Consider the following 20,603-nt stretch of genomic DNA (forward strand, 5'->3'; position numbering starts at 1 on the left):
TTGTTTTTGTTACAATTGCTTTTAAGGACTAGGTCATAAATTCTTTTCAAGGCCAAAGTCCAGAAGGGTATTTCCTAGATTTTCTTCTAGGACGCTTATACTTTGAGGTCTTACATTCAAGTCTTTAATCCACCTTGAGTTGATTTTTTTGTATGGTGATAAGTAGGGGTCCAGTTTTATTTTTCTACATATAGTTAGGCAATTTTCCCAGAACCATTTATTGAAAAGTCCTTTTCCCGTAGCTTATTTTTATCAACTTTGTCAAAGATGAGTTGGTTATAGGAATATAGGTTTATTTCTGTATCCTCTCTTCTGTTCCATTGGTCTATGTGTCTATTTTTGTACCAGTACCATGCTGTTTTGGTTACTGTAGCCTTGTAGTATAGTTTGAAGTCAGGTAATGTGATGCTTTTGGCTTTGTTCTTTTTGTTTAGGATTGCTTTGGCTATTTGGGATCATTTTGGTTTCATATGAATTTTAGCAGAGTTTTTTTTCTAATTCTATGAAGAATGACATTGGTAATTTAATAGGAATAGTAATTATTGGTAAATTAACAGGAATCTGTAGATTGCTTTGGGCAGTATGGTCATTTTATTGATGTTGATTCTTCCTATCCATGAGCATGGAATGTTTCTTCATGTGTTTATATTGTCTCTGATTTCTTTCAGCAGTGTTTGTAGTTCTCCTTGTAAAGATCTTTCACCTCCTTGACCAGCATGTCTCTTTCTCTGAATTCCTCTGCCTAATTGGGCTACCTGCTTCCCCACCTCCATGTCCTGCTGGGCAGTACTGAGGGTTATGTCATTGTTATGTCATTGAACAGCTCTAGGGGGCACCACTAACTTTGTAGTTTATGTGAATGACATCTTCTGAAGCACATATACGGGTATACGGGTGAATGATGTCCCTGGAACTGAGCAACACTGTGGCTGCCAAAAATTTTTTTAAAAATAAAATAAATAAAAATAAAATAAAAATTATTTTTTTTATTCCCTAAAGTACTATAACTCAAAACTCATATGTATGATAGAAGTCTACAGAAGGTAATATAGCTAATAGGGAGTTAATTGCATTACAGAGTGGGAAATGCTTTTAGGCCAAGTAGGGGGAGGGGAGGGGTTCAATTTTCATAACCAAACAGTCCCAGATCATTGGGGTATTTTACTTAAAAAGAAAAAACTCCCAAAAGGAATTCCACCTTATTCCTAAACCTTTGCCCTTTTGTCTCAAAATGCCAAGATGACAGATATTTTTATTGCCTTTACAGATGGTTTAAGGAAAAAGGAGGGAAGGATGTGATGAAATCACATGGATGATTTAGAACTATGGCAAAGCCCCAAGCTGAAAACCTAAAATCTCTGGATTCATTTCTGTTTGCCACTTCACATTATATATTTAGCCTTTCCCAAATTGAGACCAAGAGGAAAACAGCTTTCAGAAACAAGTTTCTCTTATCTAGCCAATGTCAACCAATTGTTTACACTATTGATTTGAAAATTTGCCTCCTACTCTAGGTCTTTCTTACATTGCCAATTAGCTGGTTCCTAATATCCTGTCACCAAGATTAAGATTCTCTGATTAAGGATTTATAACTGGTATCTCATTTTTATTATATTTCTAGAGAAGTGAAGTCTCCCCTTACTGTGTAATTCCTCTCTCCTGACCATGATTGGTAAATACATATTTAATTGAGTAAAATGTAAATAAATTTTCTTTTTAAAACTGATTTATGAGAGTTTAATGCTATCCAAATCAAAGTCTTTAATTATTTTTTAATCCTTCAGATAGCCACTTCATTGAATACAAAATTAATTGATGTTATGAAATTTTCTTGATGTTGTACTAAAGCTAAGTAAATTGAATGAACATCATCACTTATAGAAAAATTAGAAAGCACTGTATTTAAATAGAATGATGTCCAAAATAGCTCAGTAGCCAGGCAAATATATTCTTGGTAATAGGATAGTTGGCTAGTCCAGGCTATCTCATAAAAGGACACAGATGAAACTAGAGAGACTGGCTAGAGAACTAATTATCAATTGAATATAGAGCTATATTTAAAGGATTTTATTTATTGCAGTCTGTGAAATGAATTTTTACATATATTTAAGAATTACAGAGAAATAGACAATCTTCTTCATTAGAACCTTAACTTCTCTTCCCTATTATTGTAATCAAAAATTATATCACATACTGCAATTTCAGTAGCTGCTTAGAATATATGGTTGGCTATATAGAATCTACATGGTTTAAAGAAAAAACAATCATGATATGAAATAGGGAATTCAAAGTATCAGAAAAGATGGGACTGAGTTGAAAAGACAAGAGACAAAGGTAATAGTTGAATCAGTTGGAACAATGCTGTCTTCTTTATCCCAACCTGACCCAATGTGTGTCTCTTTTGAGCTCTCTAGTTGAACAACATGTGATGGGCATTTAAATGAGGTTCTATAGAAGCAGTTAGCATACCGTGTGTCCTATAACAAATAAGGGCAGGTTAGCCATGAAGGAAATGAGATATAAGCATGAGAAAAGTAATCACTGAAGTTCACACATTTCAAACAAGACCTTTTACTACTTCTTTTGTGGAGCATGAAGAGGCTGCCTCATATTCGAGAATGTTCTCTGGCAGAGCTCCTTTCCCCTGCTGTGAAGAGGAGGGCTAAGGACTGCTGAGCTACAGTTGCAGCTCTGTTAGGATATTCCATGAAATTTCCTATCAAATAGCAGAAGGCCAGGCCTAAGTTAGTGTGGTAGGGAGTTGCCTCCAATGTGCTTTGAGGAGTTTCTAAAAGCATTTCTGTCACCAAATGCCTCCCATAAGAAAGTGCTTGGAAGTCCCATCATAATATTCATTCCTCTTACATAAAGGAGATCTTAACCAGACTCAGGAAGTCCTTCTTAGCAACACATAGTTTACCCAAGAGGTGTACCCATGAGTGACCTGAACTGTATAGATTTCTCAGCTTGGTTCCACATCCTATTAAGGATCCAGAGGGAGTGGATCCCAAGACAAGTATATTTGGGTGGCAAGTGTAGGGTGAAGACAGAAAAGTCCGAGATGTAGTAAACATTCCAGATTTAAAATAAAAACAATAAAATGTGGACATATGCACACCATCCCAGGGCAAGAATAGTGGGTTTCTAGAGGCAATGAAACTAAGGGCCTATTTGAGAAGTAGAAGGCCATTGAAAAGCAAAGTGAGATGGTTAGTACCCAACATAAGCTTTGCCTACCCCGCAATTTTGCAGTCAAGTCCTGACTTTCAGTAAGGAGGGGAATGGCTTTGGTGGTAGCCATTTATGACTCATGTATGATTGTCAAATGAAGTAAAGTAGGAGAAGTCACAGAACTCTAGCTGACTTGGGCTTCTGACTCTCTTCTGAATGTCAGTGTTGAACAGGGATCTGCCATCAGGAATTTATCTTCCTTGTTAACAAAGAGGGAGGGCTTGTGGTTTTAACTGGCCACTGATTTTTGAGCTAATAATCTGCCACCTTTGGAGATTCCATTACAGAGTTCTCATGTTATTTTCTTACTTTCAGTAGAACTGAAGAAAACAATAAACGAGAAATGAAAGTGTGCTCTGCTGTCTCTCTGGGGTCACAGGCCAGTCACCTGCGCATCCTGTACCAGTCAGGTTATCTGGCCAAACAAGGAGAGGGAGCCGTGCTACACATCAGTCAGCACATTTTATCTCACTGCTTTCCGCCATAAAAATGCCAGCGTAAAGAAAATTAAGCCAGGTGACAAACCACAACAAGAAAAGATTGTTTTCCCAAATTTTCTTGCCTGAAGAAGGTAAAGGAAAATATTAAAGGTAATTGGGTCAGGCTTCAGTAACTTAAGTGTCATATACCACCCACTATGCAACCCGCCAAATAGCCTGCAGGGTTAATAATGATACAAAAGCAAAAAAGGAAAAACTGAACTGTTTGAAAACTCACGAAATTTCCTCGGGAAGGAATTCAAAGAAGGTGAAATAAATGAATCCTGTCCACTAGGCTGATTAAAGAGCAGCAATTGTATTGTCAGTCCTGCCAGGACTCAAATGCCCCCTCAGAATTCAGAATTAGAGGTACTTGTAACCCTCTTGATTTAGACAAATGGACAATAGACATCTGCCTGAAGGTGAAGAACAGTTTTACTAACTGTCTTGTGTGGTAATTGACAGCAGCTGACAATGAAAACTGCGGAGAGGTAGGTTAAGAGGTCAGTTATCTGCCAAGACCTGTAAGCCTGGAGCATGATTTGAATGTTATACATGAGCACCAGGAAAGGCTGTGCATGTGTGACTGTGGGTATAGAACTCACCCATCCTGTGTCAGATAATTTATGTTGATGTTTCTTCTCATGTCACATGTCAAATCATGCCTCACTGGCTGCTGCCAATTTCATCAGACCCAGTGTACACAAGGATCTGTGCAGGGTGAAGGTTTTCATTGGCCCTTGTCCTTAGATCATTAGTTCGTAGCTTGCAATTAGAGAACTGCTGCAACAATAATTCAAGTAATCATAACTTTTAAAAAGAAAAGAGTTTAAGAATATATTCATAGTTGTGTATTATTATTATTATTAATATATCATTGGGACTAACAGGAAAAAAAAAAAAACCCTCAAAAACTAGAGACAAACTAAATGGCCATCAATACACTGAAATATTAATCAGCCATTAAGCAAAATGAGGTGGATTTATAAATTTTTGCATGAAAAGATGTCCATAAAATGCCTTAAGTTATTAAAAATAAAAAGAATTTGGCCAGGTGCAGTGGCTCACGCCTATAATCCCACCACTTTGGGAGGCCAAGGCGGGCAAATGGCTTGAGTTCCGGAGTTCGAAACCAGCCTGGACAACATGGTGAAACCCTATCTCTACAAAAAATACAAAAAAGTTAGCTGGCCATAGTGGCACACACCAGTAAACCCAGCCACCTGGGAGGCTGAGGAGGTGGGAGAATCAGCTGAGCCCAGGAAGGTTGAGGCTGGAATGAGCCATGAGCACACTGCTATACTCCAGTCTGGGCAACAGAGTGAGACTCTGTCTCAAACTTATTTTTTTTAATTTTTAAAAAAGAATTAAATTGAGAACAAAATATATTTTTTGATTCCATTTTTTGTTAAAAAATAATTTTTTTGATATATGAGAGGAAAAGAATCTGAAAGAGTACGCTTGAGGAATAGGTTTGAAAAGAGTAAGATTTGGATTTTATTTCTTACTGAATACACTCTTTGCTACTTACATGTTTTGAAATGAGCATAAATTCATTTATTAATTTTTTAAAATAGCCAATTTCTTATTTAAAAAGGGGAAATGGTAAAATAGAAAAAAACAATATGGGAAGAGCTGAGAAGTATGGTTCAAAACTGTATTTTTGTGGGCAGATCACTTGAATTGCCAGGGGTAGTTAATTTTATTGTACTTGCTTAGTTTATGTTCAATTCTATTGGATAACTTAAGATCTATATTTTCTCTTTAGAATGCCAATGTGTGTGTCTGGCATGTGTGTGGTTTCTGATAGCACACTGAGAGAAAAAAAGAGAAAATGTTGAATTATTTCTACTTTTCTTATTTTTGTTCTCCATTTGGGGAGGTCCTTTTTATTCTTTTTTTTCTTCCCTCATTTCTTTCTCTTTTATTACCTAATTTTTATTTGTGCTAAAACTGTGTATTATTCATGAATCTTTTGCTTACAAGAGACAGAAACCCAGCTCAAAAAAGCTTATGCCATAAAAGAGAAATTGCGTTAAATTTTTTCATGAAGATTTTCTTTTCTTTCTTTCTTTCTTGCTTTCTTTCTTTCTTTCTTTCTTTCTTTCTTTCTTTCTTTCTTTCTTTCTTTCTTTTTTTCTACCTCTTATTGCTGCTTTTTTCTATGTTGCTTTCATTCTCAACCAGGGTGTTCCTTCAGGGTAGCAAAGATGGCAACTGTGGCTGCCCTAGGCTTACATCACCCTCTGAGCTAACAAAAGTAAGAGAACAAGAAAGACTACCTCTTTTTAAATAGGTCTAACCAATCATCTGTCCCTGTGCAATCTTTATGGCCAAGAGGATGTGAAACCCTGATTGGCTAGTCGTGGTCATGTGCCCATCCCTATACTGAGGGAGGCAAGTGTTCAACCAATCTATCAATGGGGGGAAAGAAGAGTTCTCAGAAGAAAAAGGTAACAGCTCTTACAAGAAAAAAGAAGGTCTGCTAAAAGGCAAAAACAACATGGAACATTAAGTGTCATACTTCATATAAAGAAGTAACAGAGCCACCTTCCTAAATGTTTTGAGAGTTTCCCTGCCCAAGGTTTCTATAATTTCTTCTAAATATTTCTCACTGGATTAGAAGACATGGTTGCTTTTTGTTTTCTTACCTGTGTATCCTGTTATGAGCAAAAAGTTTGCTCTGTTTCTCTGGTTTGCCCAACTGGCCTGTCATTTGCCTTTTGGTGATTTATCTTAAAAGGAAATTCTGGTAAAATGAAAACTTTTGATTTTTAAAACACCTTATTTGATTATGAGGGAAAAAAAATACAGTGTTTCAGATACAGTTTTTGAAAGTCTTGAGCTGGTGAGTTATTGCATAAAAATAACTTATGTTCTTCTTCCTGAGCCAGCAGTCCTTTAAAAAGCAGGTGTTCCGGATACTGGAGATGACAAACAGCTTTATAACTAATGTGAGGAAGAGCAGAGGACAGTAGACTCCTCTGCCAAGTGTTAAAGCCAAAGGGAAATATTCCAAAATGGACTTTTCTGTAACTATCTCAAAACAAGGGAAGCCAGAGGATTAGTAAAACAGTAAGTGTACAGTCTAGTCACTTTGAAGCCTGACATATTAGCTAGTTTGCTAAGGGCATACGTTTATGTAGATCTTTTAAAGGGAAAAGATTTTTCTTTCAGCCAAGAATAAAGATGCAATAGTTTTTCTCTGTCTTCAGCTCATTTTAAGTATTATCAACATCTGTTGCATAGTCTACTTGGAGTGGGACTATTTTTATGCAGTTTGCAGAATGCACACTGGATTCTTAACACACTGACTGTAAAGGCTTATTTCCTGATTATTAAGTTGTTTTAGAGAGAGAAAGAAAAAGAGATGTTAGGTATAGGATTAGAGAATCATGCAGGCTCTCTTTCTGTTTGAAGAAGCACAACAGACCGGAACTGCAATATATTTTGCAGCCCCTCAGCTACTGAGCACAAGGATAAAATAGTATTTTGTTTTGTTTTTTAATATTCCCAGTTTCCTTCTTTTGGAACATCTACAGAGCACATCAGTAATTTCCTTCTAGCATTTATTGATGAGTTTTCTACCAAACATCAATTTTTCCCATACTGTGTAACTGTCACGTTCATCTGTTACCATTCACGTAAACCTGTAGCTAGTTAGCCACCTGTTTTCCCCCTTTTGACAACACTGCCATCTGTTTTGATGGAATGGTTTGGGATGGAAGTTTAGGGAGCAGGTATGATGGGGATGATTTTTCACATTCCCAAGAACAGAACTGTCCAGTAGAAATACTACATAACTGAAATATGTGATTTTAAAGTTTCTAGTAGCTGAATTTTTTAAAATTAAAAATTACTGGCGAATTTTTACTTTGGAATATTTTATTTCAACGTAAGACTTTGAAATCCAGTGTATCTATTACCTTCACAACACATCTTAATTCGGACTAGCTATATTCCAAATGTTCTATGACTACATGTGGCTACTGTATTAAACAGTGCCATAGAAGGACTAGAAGGACTCTGTAGGCCATACTTAAATTATCCATTGTGGACGTATGATCATTTTATATAACACTACATAGTTCTGAGTAGTTTAGGATACTATGAACATAAAATTGTTTTTTTCAAAAATCCTTGTTTCCTCAAATCTGTACCAAGATTCCAAGCTCTTTTCCCCTAGTCAATCTATCTACTAAAAGCCATTTCCAAAGTCAGGACAGATTTTAGAAAACGTGGAAAGCTAGAGGTGAGGAGAAGTGCTCAAAATTTACAGCTCATAATTCTTAAGTTAAATTCTATATTAGATAATGACATTTTTAAAAAAGTATCCACCTGGTTATTTATGATTCTCATAGACTTTTCATCACTTTCATGATTTCTGCTACCCCTGACTTGCTCTTACATTTATTTTATGTTCTAGTCTCAATTCTCCAAGGTTTTGGAACGATTAATCTCCTTTTTACCTTGGCTACACATTTCTAATAGCAGTGATTGATCCTCATGCCAGAGGATGCCCTAGGAGTTTCTACTTTCTCTTTAGAACTGCTTTCTAGGGATGAGTAGTACGTGGTGACATTGATCACACCAAGGCTTTGCAAGCACTTTAATATGTCAACATTTCCACTTGTGTTTTCTGCATCTATGGTTAATGGAGGTGGTGGTGACGATTGTTTTTGTTTTTGTATGCATGTGTGCCAGTCCATGGGGTACATTGCACATGAGCCTCATTAAAGCTTCCTTAATCACTAACTTAATTTGGGAAACACTCTGCACACCTTTTTGGCTTCTGGGTGGTTGTTGGATGGACACTCAGCAGTACAATCTGCCTCCCCTACCTGGAACATTCCTCTATTCACTATTCACATCATTAACTTCTTCTGGTTCTTCAAAACTCAGAATTCTTCCCTAACTGCCCAAGGCTGTATTAGATCCTCTCTTTATTTTCTGCCACAGCTATCTGGGTTTTGTCTTCATAGCACTTAGCAACAAGGAAATACACATGTTTATTGACTGTCCATAAGAGCAGTCTGTTGTGCCTGTTCTGTTCACCTCAACAGAGCCTAAACAATTATCACAGTGCCCAGTACATAGCAGGTGCCCAAGAATATTTGCTGAATAAATGCATGGAAAAGTACTTTGTATTTTTTCAAGAACTGTATTTTTCCACTGATAACAAATTAATGACAAACATATCAAAATCATATTAAAATCAGTACAGAGTTTAAAATGCTGATGATACTCCTCTCATTACAGATGTTTCATTTTTGAAAATTCTTCTATGTCTGTTCTTGAGTTATGAGTCAAATCATCTTTGGAGGTCTGGGTAGAATGTTAATGCTGTTTACAAATCAAAGTTTAGTATCAAATGAGAAGATCTAAATATTAAGTGCCTTAAATTGCCAGAGAACCAATGGCAATACTTAAACATGAACTAAAAGGTTTTTCAAATAACATTTCACATACTGTGACTATAATAAAAGTCGGGTTGTGGAAAGCTATACACTTACCACATAAGAATATAAGATATACTATTATTGTGGCTTAAGGAGCAAATAATTCAAGTTATGTTTAATGCCGTGATACAAGTGGAGAAATAAGGATATTTATAGCCAGCTAGCCAGCACTCAGCTTCAGGGTCCATATTTCAAATGGATTCACCCATACTCCATAAGCATTATAGAGTTTACTTACTTAACAAACAGTAATTCTCTTAGTATGTTTAATTGTAATTTTTTTTTAATATTAGCTTATTTAAGTCTCATAGTCTTTTGAAGTAGAGACTATTAGCATCCCATTTTGTAGCTGAGGGAACTGAGGCCTGGTCATATTAAATAATGTTGAAGATAAAATAAGGCCAAGTGTGGTGTTCATATCTGTAATCCCAGAACTTTGGGAAGCGGAGGCGGGTGGATCACTTGAGGCCAGGAGTTTGAGACCAGTCTGGCCAACATAGTGAAACCCTGTCTCTACCAAAAATATAAAAATTAGCTGGGCATGGTGGCACATGCCTGTAATCCCAGCTACTTAAGAGGCTGAGGCATGAGAATCACTTGAACCCAGGGGGCAGAGGTTGCAGTAAGCCAAGATCATGCCACTGTACTCCAGCCGGGACAACAGAGTAAGACTCTGTCTTAATAAATAAATAACTTTAAAGATAAAATAAGTAAAGCTGGGGTTTGAACCCATGGAGTCTGACCCTTGGATTAATATCCTTAAGTCCTCTATACTATAGGGTTACATTGGACTTTGAATTTAAAACCATTTATTCCATCAATAATTACTTTCTTTTCTATTCCTACAAATCACCTTTAAAAAATTCCCCATGATTTACAAGGAACTTTTTTTTTAAATCAGCCATCAGCTTTTTTTTTTTTTTCATCTAGTTCAATATGTAGTCAGCATTTTTCTCCTTGTTTTTTTCTAAAGACGACCATATGTCCCCAGTCCAGGGAATTTGGCACTAGAAGCTACAAATTTGGGGAAGAAAGTAAAATTCACAAGATAGTCATATTTAACAGGACTGAAAACCTTACTTCATTTTCAGAACTAGTCTTTCTTCCCAAAAGTTGTTTGGAATTAGGATTTATTCTGGTTTGGAACAGTGGTGATTATAATTACTTAAGCATTCCATGCACTGACAGCTTTCTGCTGCTACTTAGATGTAACAATTCTAAAGTATTTGTGAAGCTTATCCAAGGGGAACAAGTTTCTGTCCTATTAATTCACTAAAAGCTGCTTAAAGATAAAGCCAGAGACTAAAGTCAGTTATAGCTTTAATCCCCATTGGATCTAAATCCCCTTTTTCCATTTCATAGCCATGTGCATCATCCATAAACCAATCTAATTATTTCCAAATGCATGTCCTTGCTCTCAAGTTAGAATAGATGAGTAAAAAGATAAATTACTTGTATCATAAAGACAACAGAAACTCCGAATACAACTATATCAGTGGATTTATATTATAGTAATATCAAAGCACAGATTATATGCTATAGTACAATTATTATCAAAATGAAGAAAGGAGACTTAATAGTTACCTCTAGGACCAGAAGCAATTAAAAATATAATGCTGTTACAATTGATAAGTAATCAATGGAATGTGTTTTCATTGGTTTCATAGTCTGCAGCCATGTCAGATCCACATGCATGTGGCATGGTGTTCGGAAGTTGACCTGCATTTCTCTTCAAATCATTTAACCACACTCAGCTGACCTGCATTCCTTTTTAAACAACCTAATCAAATTTATTTCAAATACCAAAACCTTCAGTTAGAGATTTAATCTGTGTTTATGCACACGTGTGAAATCTCTAGTGTCTAAACGTGCCCTTGCCTAAGAGTACTCCATGTTTACAGAATATAAATTTCATAAGATTTCCCAATTTTTTCAGTCTTAAGTGAACTTTTTCATTTCTTTTTTTTCTTGAAAATGGAAATCCCCAGTCAAGGTCAGACTGCCCCAGATGATGTTTGGTTTTATGCATGTTGGCCTATAATCAGGGAGTCATTCTGGGAGGGAAAGTATAGGTGCCCCTCCCTACGGATCTCTCTCATTCCCTTCTCCCCCTCGCCTTACATAGTCTTTAATCTGTGAGATATACCAGTTGTTGAAAGCACCCATTCTAGGCCTGCATCTTAGAAAATATTTCTCTTTCCTATTGCCCAAGTTGGAAAGTAGTATAACCTAGCAGGCAAATTACTAATTTGGAAGCATTTGTATATTAATTCTATGATGTAGCGTCCACTAGAGGACTTGCCTGCATATTTAATAACTAAGATATTGCTATACACATATGTCATGGTATGAAAATAAATGTGGTGCCCATTCAGCAAGGGTATGGCATATTCATTTATCCCCAAGATCAATACTCTGATGAAGGAGGGCTATTTATTTCAGCAATAGAGAAAACAAACCTAAGAAAAAATTGAATAAGTCTGTACAATTTGTAGGGTTTTAAACACTCTTCCTTATTAAAATACCCACTTTTTGGTTAAATAACAGATCCATGATATCAGTTTACATTAGTGACTAAAGTAGTTACTAATGAAGATGAAAAAAAACAGTAGAATACAAAGGGGGAAAGGATGGTGTCAAAGAAGAGAACCAGAGAACATTGATTTTATTCATGCCCTTGTAATAGAAGAACACCCTACATCTGAATATCAGAATGTTTCTGTAGGTTGATTTTCCCTTAGATTTTATAGGGAAGAATAGACAAGTTACAGGTGGGATGATTTATTGTTTGGGTCGTTTTGCAGTCAGGGGAAGTCTAGGTCAGTTAGCTGAAGAGGAAATGTTTATCTCTGTTTCTAGCAAGTTTCAGAGGGACAAACAGTTTTAATCTCAGCTAATCATTCATAAGATAGAGAATGGGAAGTTGAAGGGTCTGTGTCTGGTCTTATCAGCAGATCCAGGCAAAAAGGGGAAAGTCTGTGTTTGGTCTTGTCCTAGGTAAACAAAGGAGTCATCTGTGAATCTTATGGGGGTCGTGAGAAAGAGTGGGCTGAGAGTTTTATTTAAGTCACATGGGCAAGGGTGGCTCTTTGTGGTGAGCCATTTCCTGGAACACTAAAAAGCTGAGGGATTTCTCAATCATCACTGTTTTCTGGAAGCACCAGGCTCAGGTAGATTTCACCATTGTCGCTGGAAACCTGATTCAGACCAGGGGCAACAGTGGACAGATAGGGAGATGTGATGTGACCCAAGGGGAGTCATTCAAATACACCTGAAAACTATAGGCCACCTTGGGAGGGTAAAGGCTTTCCAGTAAAAGTATCCAGGAAAAAGCAACTTGCTGAAGACAATGTGGATAGAATCCCTGAGAAAAGCAACCAGTCCAATGAGGCTCAGGTAGCTGTAGAAATACCACTTTTAAATCAAAATTGAAGGTTTACAGATGAAGCTGAGTGAGGAGAGGCAAAGAGTCTCTCAAGGCCTAGGTGGAGAGTGAGCCCAAGTCAGCCTCAGTGCTAACCTGCCAAATCCTAGCTGTTGGGTTAAAGTAAGAGTAGATAAATCCAGTCATGAAGCTTATACATTGCCTGCCTGAATGGAGTTTGAAATTCATAGTTTCTGTCTATATTCTAGCTGCTACCCAGATTGACTATGCTCTCTGATGGTAACTCATTATGGAAGATAAGCACAGGGGAAAGATCATAGCCCCCAAATCACATGATTTCTAGAAAACGCATTAGTCCCTTGTGGATAGTCTCTATTTTTGCCCCAAAATGAGTGTCATAACACATGGCAAGACACTCATTTATCTGATTGTGTTTTTGCACATGTCTAACAGTTTCCATTTAAAATACCAGCAACAAAGCTGCCGATGAATGATACGTAGGAATAGGTAAAACAGAGTAATAGAATTAATTGGAATCCCAGGATAATCTCAAGGAATCAGATTAACAATCCATAAGATTTCTTCTACACTAAATCTTTTATTAAAGCTGCTATATTATAAGCAGTTAAGCTTCTGGATTTGGATTTCATCTCCCTCCCCATTATAACTATCAGAGGTGCTAAGAAGATGCAAAATACTAACACTTGGCACAAGAAAAGAGAAAAAAAGAAATACTGAAGGAAAAAAATAACTTTTTAAAAGTGAAAAGCAATCATGAAGAACAGATCAGGTGAGGAATGTCAAATTGTTAGTCACATCCAGCTCGAGCACACAGGGACACACATGGCAAGAAAGATGTGCCCTGGCCTAAAGAAAAAGATAAGGGAGGTACGTTCAGGGAAAAGGAGGTGGGGAGAATATGTGAGCGTGACCTAAAACCTGCTAGAAAACTAGGTAACTCCATGTTTTTCTATAATGATTTCTTTCCTTGTAAAACTCAAAAATGTTCAAAAACTGGGTTCCTAATCATTCTTCATCAAAGTCCACAGTTCTTTACTCTTTTTTTTTCTGCAGTTATTTACGAAATTAAAACTGCTATAGAATTTATACTTCTCTTCAGCATCCATTTTTATACTTAAGCTCTCTGGCTTTTATGTAAAATACCCAGAGAATTTTCTCATGTTTTATAATATCTACAGTGAAGTGTAATATGTTCATATTTCCTCATATTATTATTTACCAAATATTCTAAGGATTATTTACCAAATATTCTAATTATTACCAAATATTCCAGGATTATTCTAATATTGTAAGAATTGCACTTCTTTGTCCTCTTGTGATTTGGTAGAGCCACACAATTAGTTCGGGCCAATGAGCTGTGAGCAGAAGTGATTTGTGTAACTTCTGAGCCGAAGCATTTAATTCCTAGCATAAACTACTGGAGGGATGTATTTCTCTATCTAGAATTACCAGCAATATTGTTGTTAGTGGCTCCTCCATTGGGCTGCCATCTTTTTTTTTTTTTTTTTTTGGCGGGGGGTGGATGAGGTCTCACCCTGTCTCATAAGCTGGAGTACAGTAGAGGAATCATAGCTCACTGTAACCTCAAACTCCTGGCTTTAAGGTATCCTTCTGCCTTGGCCTCTCAAAGTGCTGAGACTGCAGGCATGGGCCACTATACCTAGCTTGGGCTGGAGTCTTAAAGTGAGAAAGACATGAAGCAAAGATGCAGCCCATGTGCAACTGTTGTACAGTGGGAGCAAAGAATATATTTTTATTAATCTATGGAAGTTTGGGGTTGTTGTTATGGGATTGTTTGTTACTGTAGCACAGTCTAACCTATCCTGACTGATATAATCAAATTTGCAAAAATATTTAGTCTGATTTTTGATATAAATAACTTATAATTACATATATACAGTGGGAGCCAAGCAAATAAAACTCAGCTCCAGAATAAAAGAGCAGCCTGGCCTGACCAATTATAGCTCCCAACCAGAATCAGAATGACGCAGACTCATTAATAAGAATAAAAAATCTGAGCTTTTACCACAGATTTGGATGGTTAAGTCAAATCTACACTTTAAAAATAGAAAAAATAAGGAACATTTTTTTCTATTTGATCATCAATAGTGTTATGGTAGTTTTATCCAATTTTTGTAGCACAATAAAGATATATTTATAGAAATTGGGTAAAAGGATAGAGAAGACAGATGTTTAATTGTAATAATTAAATGAACAAATTACTGGCAGCTCTTTGGCAGATGATATACAGAGTGAAATGCATTTTTGTACTAATTATTTTCAGTAGCTAACTCTTGAGTATAAAAATGTGTTCAGTGTTGAGGATCCCAATATGAGTAATATGTACGCCCTGTCATCATGATGGGAACTGACAATTGAATAGAAGAGGATAAGAAACAGACAAGAAACAGAAGTATGCTAAGTGCTTTAAGAGGAGTACACCCTGTGCTGTGGCAGGCATGGGTGGGGCATCCTAAAAAATGGTAAATGAGCCAGTGGCTGGGCTGCTAAGCCACGTCTTGGGAATAACTAGCCCATAGAGGCAGCTGCTTGATTAGAAAACTGAATGCCAGAAACTGGTTGTCAGTAAGAAGCAACATAAGGACTACTTCCACACTTTGGTATATCAATTTGTAGTTTGAATTTGGCAAGGGTATGCACAGGAGAAGCAAACCAATAAACAGTCCAAAGGAAGGCAAACACACAGCCTATGTGGGAAAGTGTATATAAGCCTAGATTTAAATCACACTGTAAAAACAATCACATGGAAACAATGCTAAATATGTAATCAAAAACATGTTAGAAACCGAAAAAACATAACAAAAGAACCATAAAAAATAGAGGAAAATATCTGAAAAAACAACTCAAAAGATTGCTCTTTTACACTGTAGCATGCTATTCCCTTGGCTATGCAAAAATGGGAAACTTTATTTCCCAGGACAACCCACTTTCTGTACATACAGCACTATCAGACCCCTTCTTGTTGAATCATTTATACTGAATTAACACCTGGCTCGACCAGAGCTAATGAATATTTAGGACAGTTGGAAGGAGATGACCATTTACAATTCTTCAATAAATGATTCCTTCAATAAATTAAAATCTGATTTTCAGAAAACAGAGTGTCAAAATATTTAAGAGAATAGAAATGAAGTATGTTCTCTGTAGATCATGTCAAGGGTGACACCAATCCCATCCATATCTACTGGATGAAAGCAAGATGTGCTTTTCTCGAAGTTTACACTAGGCAAAAAAAAAAGGCAGTTTTATTTTAACCAGATGTGAACAAATTAAACCCAATATTTTCAAGTATTTTTAGTGCCACATGATGTCATCCAATTTTATATTTTCTACTGGGGGATAATGTGTATTTTTAAAATTGTGAAGCCACTTTCCATGTATGTACTTAAGACTTACACACGATAAATTACAATAAACAAATTACAACACCGCCGGACATGCTCTTGGCTGTTTATGTCAAAAGCCGAGAAAGAAATTTAGGTTTTCAGTAGGACATGGAATTAGACGCATGTGAAATGTCTTCTGCTGGCATTCAAGTTAGTCCTCATTTCAATGACGATGGTCCTGGTCCGAACAGGTCCAGGGCAAGCATTACTCCGGCTATGCCCTCCTAGTACACTGTGGACTCCACAAAGACTGCAGGCAGTCTTAGGCTAGTTACCCAGGAAACCCCAGCTTTAAACAACCAGAGCCTTCCTTTTTTTGTTGTAACAAGATCACACATCCCCATTGCCACTACTCAGATAGTGCCGGGTGTCCTAGGATCTTGGCGTCGCTCTTGTCCTCTGGAACAGGCATGGGAATGAGGATGCCTCTAAACTGACCAAGACTTACTTCCTCATGCTTTTCTCTGGGGCAGCATCAGGCAAGCAGCCATACCCTGGAACAAGAGTGTGGTCCTCAATGGCTTTGCTGAGTGAACTTCTCCAAGTCATCTCGCCTGGGAAAGAGATTTCTCAAAGACCATTTAAAGCTTTCCAGAGGGCAACAGCGAGACAGTCGCGAGCCAAGGTTACCATAAATGCTTCCACAACCCCTGATTTCATTTCGGAAATAAGGAAAGAAGTAGTCACCACTGCAGGCGTTGCTTACGCCTCATCCAGCAGCCTCCCACCCCCAATCCCTCAACAATTAAGAGACAATAAAAGTAAAGATAATATTACTGTAGGGCCATTGGTACACTGAAACGTCGTTGAATTAAAAAGTCTTTATTTCAGCCTAACATCTTCTCCATCCACCCACACTTGAGCACAGAACATTCCAGGCAGGCAAAGCCACCCTTGCCCTCCTCTCCTTGGCCACGTCCTCAGGGGTGGGCGAGCTTCGGGGGGAGGGGTGGGGGTGAAGACTCCGTGCCAACGCAAAATACTCTGCCAAAAGGCTTCTCAGACATGAGTTTCCCAGGGCAATGCCCACCTTCCGTTCCCCGCCTTCCCGAGTCTCTTCTCCCAGTTTATGCTGGAACCCTGGAATGGTCTGGGGACCAATGAGATGGCAGCGGTTAACGCTTGGATCACGGTGAGGGGGCGATTTCCAGGGGGAGAGGCCAAGAAGCAAGGAAGGGGGTGGGGGGCAGGAGGAGAAAAGTGGGAAGCGCGGACAAAAAGTAGGCGGGGAGGAGAGGAGAGCCCCAGCTGGGGAAAAGCAACGGCAGTCGAGGTAAAAAGAGCGAAAGGTAAAGAAAGAGCAGGTTCGTGGACAGGAGCCGGCGGGCAGGCCGGGGGATCCCTGGTGAGGAAGCGGCGAGGGAGGGGCGTGGGCCGAGCCGGGGGCGCCGCGGGGAGGGTCGCTGTCAGTCAGGCCGAGCGGGGCTCGCTGGCCTGGGGGCGGCCGCAGGGGCGCAGCGCAGCCTGAGGGCGCGGCGGCCCCGGCAGCCTCCGCAGTGGCAGTGGTGGCCGCGCCCCCGTCCCCGGCCGGGCGCCCGCGCTGCGTTCCTTGTCCCCCAGCGCCGGCTTCGGGCCGCGGCCGCCCAGGCTGCCCCCGCCCGCGCGCGCCCGTTGGGGGGCCCGGGGAGCGGCGCCCGCGGCCGGGCCGCATTGTGACGTAGCGGGGCCGCGGCAGCGCCTCCACCGCCCGCCTACTTCGGCTGAGGCTGTTCTGCTCCTGCCGCTGCGGTCCGTCGGTCGGTCAGTCAGTCCCTTCGCGCTCCTGAGCCGCCGGCGCGCCGGGCGCCCCGGGTGAGTCCAGGTCCCAAGCGGACGCCGCGGGGAGGCGGGAGGCGGGCAGCCAGCGGCTCAGCCTTTCCAAGTTTGCACCAGGCGACCCCGGCGGGTGTCGCCCCGTGCTCCCCAAGCCCCGGGACCCCTTTGTGCCGCGAGTCTCGGCTGCTCCGGGCAGCAGAGGCGCCTCTGCAGAAAGGGTTTGAGGGGGAGGTCTCTATAGTAACAGTAACAGTGGTGGCGGCAGCGGCTGCTTTACTGGGGAAAGGGGGAAACAACCCCCGCCTCGGTTTCCAAAGGATTGTTCTTTTCATTTGCCCGCCTCATGTGGTTCTTATTCTTGCTGTCACCCGGGATCTTATCGCAGGCAGGGATGGGCAGTTCCGCGGCTCGGAAAAGCTGAGATAAGGAGGGGCGAAGTAATAGTAATAGCGACAGTACTAACAACGGTAATAATAGCTGTAGAAAAGGGACGTCTGGTGTTGCTGCCGCCCCTCGCTCATCAGCACCAGCTCCCCGACTGCCCTGTCCAGCCCGGGCTCCGCCAGCCTCCCTCTAGTGCTGTTCTGCGTCCCAGGCTGGTCCGCGTGGATTTCAGAGGGGAATGTTTCTCTCTTGGCCTTGTCTCTTGGCGATGACTTTCATCTGCAGGTGGTAAGTGGGGTGAACCCAATTTTAGCTAATTGTCAAAGGCCACATTTTGTTTATTTCATTTTTACGAAGAGAAAAGAGGGAAAATTATGAGCCATTACTGGCAGCCATACAGTTTCCACAGGAAATACTAGCATTCTTTGAGGAACACGCTACTGCTTGCAGCGAAGAAAGTCTTAGGAAACAAAAAGGCAACAGCATTGTTGCTCATTTTCAATGGACGGCTAGGAGGGGGGAAACGTGTTGTTTTTTCCTGTGGGAACGTTGCTTTCCTTGGGAAAGTTAATTAAGGAAGCATTACTGTCGGTGCCCCTTTTCACTTGCTGGAGGCAGGATCGGATTCCTCTTGGCTGTTACTGACAAGTGCCCATCAAAGAGCCCGGAGGACGGGAGAACTGCTGCAGGACAGTCTCGCCACACACCACGTGCCGTGGAGCCTGGCCAGGGTGCAGTTTGCAAAATGAAATAAGGGCTGTCTGGGGAAGTTTATGAGGATTACATGTGTGCACAGTATGTCAGTTCTCCAAGGTGTCACTCTAAACACGTAATTTTCAAGCACTACTTTCGTTGCTGAATCTGTAGGAAGGGAAAAACCTATTTTTCTTTTATGGAGCAGACATCCCAATTGGGAATGGGTTGAAATCTGTATTTCATTTGTACATATTGAAAATTTAAAAGGCAAAGAACAAGGTGTAGGAAAGCAGTATGCTAATGTGTACACATCTGGGAGAGAAAGTCTATTGACTGTTTCTGATGCATCTCAATGTTAAATTACATTCAGCATGGTTAGAGTACAAGGAGACACCTTTAAGCAGTCCTCAAGACTTTTTGGAAGGTGCAATATTTCGGTACTGATCGCGGAAGTCTCTCTGGAAAGGGAGTATTAACTGAGGATTACCCATAACTAAATATGTATGCATTAACAGGTCTGGAATCAGAAAGTAAAAGATAGTGCTTCTCTTAAGGATCTTTTGGACACCTCAGTTAGAAATAAAATATAGCATGGGATTTTGAAAAGAAGGGGTATAATTTTGAATGTAAATTTCATTTTCTCCGTAGCAAGCATTTCATGAAGAAAAGTTACAGATAGTAGATTTGAAATGATGCTGCATTCATGAATTTGACGGTTACCATTTGTTGATATCCAAAAGGAAGTGACTAAAGCAAATGCATTTCTCTGTCTACTCTGTCACAACTTTCCTAATTCCAGACAGTTGTTCTGGTGCAGGTGTACAGTGGAAATGCAAGCCAAGAAACTTTGTGCGTGCTATTGTTTTGGAAGAAATTGTAGCAGTACTTTACTGCTCTTAAGGGAAACCCACACAAACATCTAATACAAACAAATGATCTTTGATATTAGCAGAAAAAGCCTGGAGCTGTTTTTCTTGCCAGATTTAAGGCATTTCTTGTCAAAAGAGGAAATCTCCCAAGGAGCAGGTGCATCATTATAGGAAACACAAGGGAATTTCTCTTTTAAATGCAAAATCTAATTGAATAGCAACAAGAGAATCAGTAACACTCTTAGAATAGAAGCTTTGTTTTTGGCAGTTTGTCAGGTTACAGTTGCAAACCACATAGGAGAAATATGTGTCTTGGGAGAAAAATGATATCCTGGTGAAAATCAAATAGTTGCTTCTGTGAAACTTTTACCCTTATATACTTATTTTCTTGTGCCCATTTGATTTATATGCAGATTCACTTGCAGGAAGTTATTTATGGAAAATGAATCAAAAACTTGTTTGCTAGTATCATATGTACTATGCATGATTTTTCACTTTATAGATTAGGTAACTAGATTTATATTTTATGGTTTGCATCTTAGCGGTTTTTTACGTTTTTGAAATTAATGATCAAAATATGTGTTAAAATAATTTTTAATTGATAAGACTGATAGCTAGGCCCTGGGAAAGTACTAATTGATTCCTAAATAGTTATCGTGCATTTACTTTGTGCTTATTTGTAATACAGCAATTTAAAATCCATAGTCTTTTCGTAAGGAACATTTTCATAGGAAATAGGACCCATGGAAAATTAAATGATACTAAACATCGAAGAACACATTTCATAATTGAGTGCCTAAGATGCTAAATAGTAATTGAAAAGGAATTCTGAGGAGAGAGTGATCAAGGTAGCTTAAATGTTATATCAGTTATTCATTGCTGGATAACAAATCCCCACAAAATGCATTTACTTAAAA

The 20,603-nt window shown here is 39.2% G+C and overlaps 1 protein-coding gene across 37 annotated transcripts in view, besides 2 other annotated features; it reads left to right on the forward strand.

Annotated features, from left to right (window-relative positions):
- Nucleotides 2,283-2,784: an enhancer, noted in NCBI's record as "NANOG hESC enhancer chr5:121632489-121632990 (GRCh37/hg19 assembly coordinates)". NCBI's record gives its function as "activates a minimal SCP1, AML or CMV promoter by ChIP-STARR-seq in naive H9 embryonic stem cells {active_cell/tissue: H9 hESC(naive)}" and the evidence as "EXISTENCE:reporter gene assay evidence [ECO:0000049][PMID:30033119]".
- SNCAIP (synuclein alpha interacting protein) overlaps nucleotides 16,842-20,603 on the forward strand; it is a 152,867-nt gene continuing 149,105 nt past the window's right edge. For 15 of the 37 annotated variants that reach the window (XR_001742366.2, XR_001742364.2, XR_001742365.3 and 12 more), the window contains exon 1: nucleotides 17,726-17,773. The gene's annotated coding sequence lies outside the window, so the exon portion shown is untranslated. The other 22 variants (XM_047417911.1, XM_047417917.1, XM_005272139.2 and 19 more) reach the window with 12 other exon arrangements.
- Nucleotides 17,528-17,627: a silencer, noted in NCBI's record as "silent region_16268". NCBI's record gives its function as "represses an Ori minimal core promoter by ATAC-STARR-seq in GM12878 lymphoblastoid cells {active_cell/tissue: GM12878}" and the evidence as "EXISTENCE:reporter gene assay evidence [ECO:0000049][PMID:35858748]".

The sequence above is a fragment of the Homo sapiens genome, chromosome 5, assembly GCF_000001405.40.
Source record: "Homo sapiens chromosome 5, GRCh38.p14 Primary Assembly".
In the NCBI taxonomy this organism is placed as follows: Eukaryota; Metazoa; Chordata; class Mammalia; order Primates; family Hominidae; genus Homo; species Homo sapiens.